The following is an 8,251-nucleotide window of genomic DNA, read 5'->3' as shown; positions in this document are numbered from 1 at the left end:
GTCTTGTGGTTTCCATTTTGTGGGTTGAAAAGTTAGCCCTCGCTTTTTATTTTTGCTCCTTTGAAATCGTTAGGTAATTTAAAAAAATTTCCTAGCAGAACTTTTGTAGGAAAAATTTTATAGGCTATGAATGATGCTTCCCTTCTCCAGATGGGATTAATTTCTCTTGTAGCAAGCAGTGAATGTTGGAGCATGTCACCTTGATCTAATAAGGGATTGGGATAAACTGGGCCTGGCTTTAGTTCTTTTCAAGGGTTGATCTCTTTCTGGTGTGCCTTTATCTTTAAGGTGAAGCCTCTTCAGGAGTCTCAGCTAAAAGTGTGGACTGTTTAATAAGGCTCTCCTCAGTAAATCCCTGAATGTAAATTCTTAGCTTCTAAGTCATTGCTTATGCATAGATTTTGAAATTCTCAAAACTGGGAATCACTAAACGCCTTGAGGAGGAAAGTGGGCAGAGACTTTCGTGCTCACCTAGTTACATTTTCCTTCCCTAGGAGTCTTGACTTTTAAAGTCCCACCTGCCTTCTTTGCTTTCTGTTGCCTTCAAATTGAGAGCTATAAAGCTTAAAAGTTGTTCTCAGTGAGATATTCGGTCTAATACAAGCGGTTTCATTGTAGCCAGAAGATAGTCTCCATTTGTTTTTCTTCTTAGATCTCCCATTAGAAAAAAGTATTTGATTATATTGTATGCTATTTTTATTAAATACAACCATTTTGTGAAGTGAGACACTATTTTATGTTATTGACTATACCACTATCTTTTTCTTAATTTATTTCACGTTTGGAGTGTTCCTCTGCATACCTACCAGGATGTAATGCTCAAAAATGTGGTCAACCACTCTACTTTTGTATCTCTTTCCAGCAGTTTTCCTACTGTCCTCTCAAAAACCCAAGATTTCTCTTCTCTTCTCTTCTCTTTCCTTGCCCTGCCTTTCTGTTCTTTCCAGAAAGCTATCTCTATTCCTAAGACTTTTTTTTTTCAGGGCAACTTATAACCAGGGCATTCTGAGGTGGAATAAGAGAAGGGCAATGATGATTGGCTTCCCAACTGCTTGCAGGTATAAATGTTTCAGACAAAAATGTAAATTTATTGTAAGTAAAGAGGATTAATACACACTTCTATGGAGGTCAAACTAAGTAGATTTTTCTCCCAAGTAAATCTACACAAGATACACCTATGGATGTTGTAAGTTATTGTACTTAGCAATTTCTGGCCATCCCAATAACCATATTAAAAAAACACCTCAACATCACTGATCATTAGAGAAATGCAAATCACAACCACAATGAAATACCATCTTCCACCAGTGAGATAACTATTATTAAAAAGTCAAAATATAACAGATGTTGGCATGGTTGTGGAGAAAAAGGAATGCTTATACATTATTGGTGGGAGTATAAATTAGTTCTACCATTGTGGAAGACAGTGCAGTGATTCCTCAAAGATCTAAAGACAGAAATACCATTTGACCCAGCAATCCCATTACTGGGTACATAACCAAAGAAATATAGATAGTTCTATTGTAAAGACACATGCATACATATGTTCACTGCAGCACTATTCACGATAGCAACGACATGGAAACAACCTAAATGCCCACCATTGAGAGACTAGATAAAGAAAATGTGGTACATATACACCATGGAACACCATGCAGCCATAAAAAGAATGAGATCATGTTCTTTGCAGGGACATAGATGGAGCTGGAGGCCATTATCTGTAGCAAACCAATGCAGGAACAGAAAACCAAATAACGCATGTTCTCACTTATAAGCAGGAGCTAAATGACGAGAAAACATGGACACATAGAGGGGAACAACACACACTGGGGCCTATTGGAGGGTGGATGAGGAGAGGAGGGAAATGACCCAGAAAAATAACTAATCAGCACTCGGCTTAATACCCGGGTAATGAAATAATCTGTACAACAAACCCCCATGAAACAAGTTTACCTATGTAACAAACCTGCACATGTATCCCTGAACTTAAATTAAAAGTTAAATTTAAAAAAATTCTGTTGATCAGGTTGGTCAATAAACAATATTGAGTTAAAACTCTGTTGCAACAAACTGATCACGTACATTTGAGACACAGTAATATCTTACCTTTTTCCCATAGGTGAGAACAACTCTTGCTGATTTCTGACTTTTGTGCAAGCATATCTTCCCAGATGTTTACATGTTCAAAGTCCTATATCCTATGTTTCTTACCCTTAGAAAGTTTTTTCTTACTCCTACTTCTCTGAAAGTGATATAAATCACTAACTTATTTGAATAATAAACAAATAAAATGGTATATAATTTTTCATTCTCTTCCTAGAAACTTGAATCTGATTACTTTGAATGCAGAGACATAATCTAATATTATCAATACATACTGAGCAACCTCAGCTTTCTTGATCTGTTTGCATTTGTAATGTAATATTTCTTCAGAATTATTATTTTAAACAGTCAGACTTATCTGTATCACCATGCAGTGATGTGTGGCTCTATTTCTTAAAGATAATGAAATGTTGGATGGGTCTCTGCTAACATTCCTGAGCTCAGTAATGTATTTGTCTCCTCTACTACCTCTTTAAGAGACTGTGGCATGAAATAAACTAGCTTCTGCATTATTACATCTCCATGACTAATAGAAATTAAATAAAAATTAATATTTGAAAAATATCACCTGTCCACCAATTATAAACATTTTAAGGCAACCGTTTTCTACAAATTAAAAACCAAAAAAGAATAATTAACAGAAATAAGATGAAGCCATATATGTCTAGTCTGCATATAGCAAAAAGAGAATTAGAGTCCATTAGCTCCACTTCTGTCATTATGATTGACATTTACATCTGAATGAGGCCTAAGAGTCATTAAATATAAATGTTCTGAATTTACATATGAGGAAACACTGAGACAAAGTGGTTAGATAATGTTACACAGCTAGGTACATTCGAAAATAGAGTGCTTTTAAAGAAAGTGGTGGGCCTGACTGTTGAAAGATATTGTGAAAATTCTAGGGCTAATGAGAGCTCAGTTGGATTTAGCAGAATCGGATAGATTCTGTTTTCTTAAAGATATAGATGGTCGTATGGCAGGATGCACAGGGCTTCCCTTCAGATAACATACCCATTTCCCGTGAGGCATCTCATGAAATGGTCTTTAGCCCCTAAAGAGACAGTCAAGACACCTGCTTGTGATTTGTAGTTGTCTCCACTGAATGGACTTTTGAATCATTTCTATTTAATTTTGATTAATTTGTCTTCTTCAGTTGTACCCTTTTATTCCATTTGATTTTAACAAATGTCCTTAACCTTTTTTAGTAAGGCCTACTAAATAATTGTGCATACATAGATTTTAAATAATTACCTTTTAAAATCTAACTTTCAAAGGTGGAAAGGAAAATCACAAGGAAGTCACAGCTATAAATATTATTCATTTATTTTGCAAGGGATATTGAAAGCTTTTCGTCTCTGCCAGTTACAATGTCCCTTTTAGCCCTGCTCACACAGAAGGCAACCATAGAATGGAGGCCTTAGTGATTAACCAAAAATCTCTTTCTGTTGTTTTAGTTCCCAGCTCATACAGGATAATAATGAGGCTACCCTCATGTAATGCTGTGGATTCTTTTTTAACAGGTTAGGCTTCTTCTGTTTCTGAAACCTCAATTTCTTTAGAAAGAAATTTAAGGTGAAAAATTCCTGGATCTAGCCCAAAAAGTTCCTGATGTAGGTCAGATCTTATTAACAAATAAAGGGAGGAGGGCAGAGGCACCAACAAGGGAAGGGCTCTGGATGTGATCATAGAGATTAGATTTAGTTGAGTCAAATATTCTGAATTTTCCATTACTTTTTTTTAGAACAAGGTCCAAGAGATAAAAAAAAAATCCCTATAAATCAGTCTGTCTCTAGTGCGAATTTTAGGCCATTCTGCGTCAAGACAAGCCCTCAGAAGGAGTCTTCCTATACTCTCTTTCCCAACCCTGAGAGCTCAGAATTAGTATATATGCAATATATAATAAGACAGGGGCAGCTGTACTTTTGTTGACTTCCCTATAAATACAAAAGAAGGAAATACTCATTTAAATTAGCGAAGTTTTGACAGAAGCCCTAGATTTCCTCAGGAAAAGAGCTCAATGATAGTGGTAACTTCTTTTTTAAAATACAATTTTAACTCCTATTTTAGATTTAGTGGGTACATGTGCAGGTTGTTACCTGGGTATATTGTGTGATGCTGAGGTTTAGGGTACAATTGATTCTGTCACCCAGGAACTAAGCATAGGACCCAATAGTTAGTTTTTCAGCCCTTGGTCCACTTCCTCCCTCCTTCTTAGTAGTGCCCAGTGTCGTTGCTGTGTTCAAGTGATAGCTTCTGAAGACTCATTTTGGTCATGTGTGGTTACCATCCACAGCTGGCTGACTCCCAATAGAGCCACCTGCACCTCAGGTCAACACATGACTGAGATGAACCCACAATAATGAGATCCAAGCTCCCAGCCAGTGCCTGTCCACGAAACCACATTGCCACTGCTCAATCTGAAGCTTGTTCCACTGAGTTACACTGCTTGATGAGAAAGCCTTTTCTGTTATTACTGTAATCATCTTTAGAATCAAGAGACCTAATTCATGTCCCCGATCTTGACACTAACGACTTTTAATGCTTCTTATTTGTAATATGTGGGTCTTAAAGTAGACAATGCAAAAAAAAAAGGAAAAGAAAAACAAGCAAAAGTAAATGATTAAACATTTACTTCTAGCTCTAAGCTTCTGTTATTGATGATGCATTCATACCACCTTTATCATTAAGTAAAAACATGTTAGGTATGTCTCCTGAGCAAGAAAATGCCTGAGGAGCAAAGAATCATACCATATAGCTCCATGCCCTTTGGAGGCTCACAATCAACTATAGAAAACAAAACAAGTCATAAGGAAACTATAGCATAATAGCATATGTATTTTTGAGCACTGGACAAAAAAGTTTCTTGTTAGAGATGAAGTATAAATGACCACTCATTTTTCTTTAGTAAAACTATGAAAACTTTTGATTAATCCAACCATAGAGATTAAAATGTGATGGGCCTTTTAAGCCTTCTTCCATTTTCTCTTGATGCTTTCTAGAGCAACAAGATGACTGGGTTCCAGATTGTGGGTTTGCTTCAGGCAGCAACATGCATCAGACATTTTATGGTCTACCTATTTCCTGATCAAAAGAGAAGTTCCAAACCCATTTTCATCAACATTTGCAGATGCTCTCTTCCTCCAAATGTCTTTTTAAGTATGTAGACAGAGCAGTCTGGCTCTAGTGATCTCCTCTTCTGGCTATATAGTTACATGTTCCAATAGATGACATCTTCCAAGGATCTTATATTTTAAAATAACAGAAATATTATTTCATATCTAGATACACATGGCCTAGAAATTAATATGATCACCAATGAGAAGTGTGACAAAGTCTTCCCTCTTGTTCACAGAAATCAGGGATGGGGAGCAGGAAGATTTGGCCAAGTTCCTAGGAGAGTTTCAGTATAGGAGCACCATTGACAACTGCAGGAAATATCTTTGTCCCAGTCATTATGCCGCCAGGAGTGCTTGGAACTCAGCTGCACACAGTGGGAGATGGGAGCTCTCTGAAGAGGCAGATGGAGCTACGTGAGGAAGTGAGGAAGCAGAAGCTCCAATCCTACTTGGAACCATCCCTTTTCCTCCTTTGTCACTCAGCCCAAGAGATTCTGAGCTTGTGTATTCTTTCCTGCAACTGGAAGCATAGAGTTTATCGTCAAGACAGGCACTGCAAGCCTTCCTCTGGATGCCCCTCCAACCTTTTCTCTCAAGTCCCAGAGGGGCAGAATCAGAGGGTAGTGTCAATGAGGTTTTCAAGGTCAGTGTCAGGTCAGTTAGTTGATGAAGCTTCAACTTCATTGAAGGAAAAATCCATTTCCTCTTTCTCTTGTGTATTTTCTGCTGGTTAAAAATAATGCACACTGTTGCCAAGAATAAAAGGGAATTATATTTCCCACCATTTCTAATCTTCTTGAGTAGAACCAATTTATTTTGTGTTGAATGAGGGTGCTCATATGCCAAAAGGTAGCCCTGGGACTGAATTGAGATATGAAGGGAAATTGAAGCACAATAAAACCCCATGCATGATGGTTTGCACCAGATCCATAATTACCACAGAACATGTTCTTATGTAGACAGGTGCAGGTAATTAAGCAACACATTGACAATTTTTCAGTCCCTTAGCCATTTCCAAGGGAGCTGGGATAATGCCATGCTCAACAGACAAACCTTTCTAGATGGGATCAGGAATGACAAAGAACTTCTACACCACTGTCCAGTCTCATACGAAACAATTAAAATTTAACTTTGTTCCTTTAATTGAGTGTAAAATTTATCTCTTGTACCTGTCTGGCTAATTACCTTCTGGAACATCATTGGCTATAACACATTGTATATGAAATTAACATTAGGGTGATACAACCAAAGTCTTCAAATTTCAAAACTTCTTGGAACATGAACTTTGTTAAATAAGTATAATCCACTAATACATTGACAAAATTGGATGTGAGAAATATTAAAAATAATGAGGTCGGGCATGGTGGCTCACACCTGTAATCCCAGCACTTTGGAGGGTCGAGGCAGGCGGATCACGAAGTCAAGAGATTGAGACCAGCCTGGCCTACATGGCGAAATCCCATCTCTACTAAAAATACAAAAATCAGCTGGGCATGGTGGCACACATCTGTAGACCCAGCTACTCGGGAGGCTGAGGCAGGAGAATGGCTTGAACCTGGGAGGCTGAGGTTCCAGTGAGTCGACATTGTGCCACTGCACTCCAGCCTGGTGACAGAGCGAGACTCCATCTCAAAAAATAATAATAATAATGCCCATTTATTGTTTGGCCTCATGCAACCATCATTTAGCTTAAGTACCTAGCAATTCTTGAGGTAGGGATTATCTCTATTTTACAGAGGAGGAAGTGTAGAGAGATTAGGCAACTTTCTTAAGGCTCCAAAGCTAGAAGTAATGGTATTTGGGTTTAAGTATCCTTCAATGCATATCTTGATGTTTACGGATCGCTAAATTGCACATCAATTGGGTAGTGTGTATCTTTTGTAACAGCTGGGAAGCCATAGTGAATCAATAGTTGAATCTCAATTTACGATGGATTTTTCAGTTTTTCATTAATATTAGCCTGAAATTGGATTTATAAACTGAGGTTGCTATAAGAATATTGAAGATCAAGGTCATAATAACATTCTTTATTCAAGAATAAAAACATGTTATCTTCAGAACTTGGGCCTTCTTGCAGACCTGCAATTGTAGGAATTGCATGATGGCTATTTGTTATGGGTTCAATCGTCCCATGTCACCCTCCTGCCCACAATGCATATGCTGAAGCCCTAACCAATCCCCTCGCACACCCAGGACCTCAGAATATGACTTAATTTGGCATTAGGACCTTTAAAGAGATGTTCAAGTTAAAATGAGCCCATTAGAGTGGGTGCTATTTATTTATTTTTTATTTATTTATTTTTTGAGACGGAGTCTCACTCTGTCGCCCAAGCTGGAGTGCAGTGGCATGATCTTGGCTCACTGCACCCTTGGCCTCCCGGGTTTAAGCAATTCTCCTGGCTCAGCCTCCGGAGTAGCTGGGACTATAGGTGTGCACTGCCACACCCGGCTAATTTTTTGTGTTTTTAGTAGAGACGGGGTTTCACCATGTTGGCCAGGATGGTCTTGATCTCCTGACCTCATGATCCACTCGCCTCAGCCTCCCAAAGTGCTGGGATTACAGGCGTGAGCCACCGTGCCCAGCTAGTGGGTACTATTTCAATGTAACTGATGTGCTTATAAGAGGAGAGACATTAGAATACATGGAAAGACACCAGAACACACATCCACTGAGGTAAAACCATGTGAGGACACTGGGAGAAGGCAACCATCTGCAAGCCCAGGAGAGAGGCCTGAGAAGGAACCAACCCTGTGGACACCTTCTCCTGGGACTTCCAGCTTCCAGAGGTGTGAGAAAATACTTTTCAGTTGTTTAAGCCAATCAGTGAATGGTGTCTTGTTATGGCAGTCCTAACAAACTACTGCAATATTTTACGCCCATATTTATGAAATTCAAAAACAAACTCTGACTGACAAGCAGGCAAGGATATAGTAAAATTTAGAGATAATAAATGAAACAGAAAGCTTGCTTTTAAAAAAACTTAAATGTAAAAATGACCCTAATTAATAAACTACAGATACTTATGTCC

General features: G+C 38.2%; 1 long non-coding RNA gene across 4 annotated transcripts in view; it reads right to left on the bottom strand.

The window, feature by feature from the left end:
• Positions 1–4,253: 4,253 nt before the first annotated feature.
• Positions 4,254–8,251, bottom strand: part of LOC105374914 (uncharacterized) — a 91,755-nt gene continuing 87,757 nt past the window's right edge. For all 4 annotated transcript variants that reach the window (XR_001743953.1, XR_001743952.1, XR_001743951.1 and 1 more), the window contains one exon: positions 4,254–5,742. This is a non-coding gene — a long non-coding RNA (uncharacterized LOC105374914). The remainder of the gene's footprint in view (positions 5,743–8,251) is intronic.

Source organism: Homo sapiens, chromosome 6 (assembly GCF_000001405.40).
Source record: "Homo sapiens chromosome 6, GRCh38.p14 Primary Assembly".
Lineage (NCBI taxonomy): Eukaryota > Metazoa > Chordata > Mammalia > Primates > Hominidae > Homo > Homo sapiens.
The sequence above is the reverse complement of the archived record's forward strand: the minus strand, read 5'-3'. Positions and strand labels throughout refer to the sequence as shown.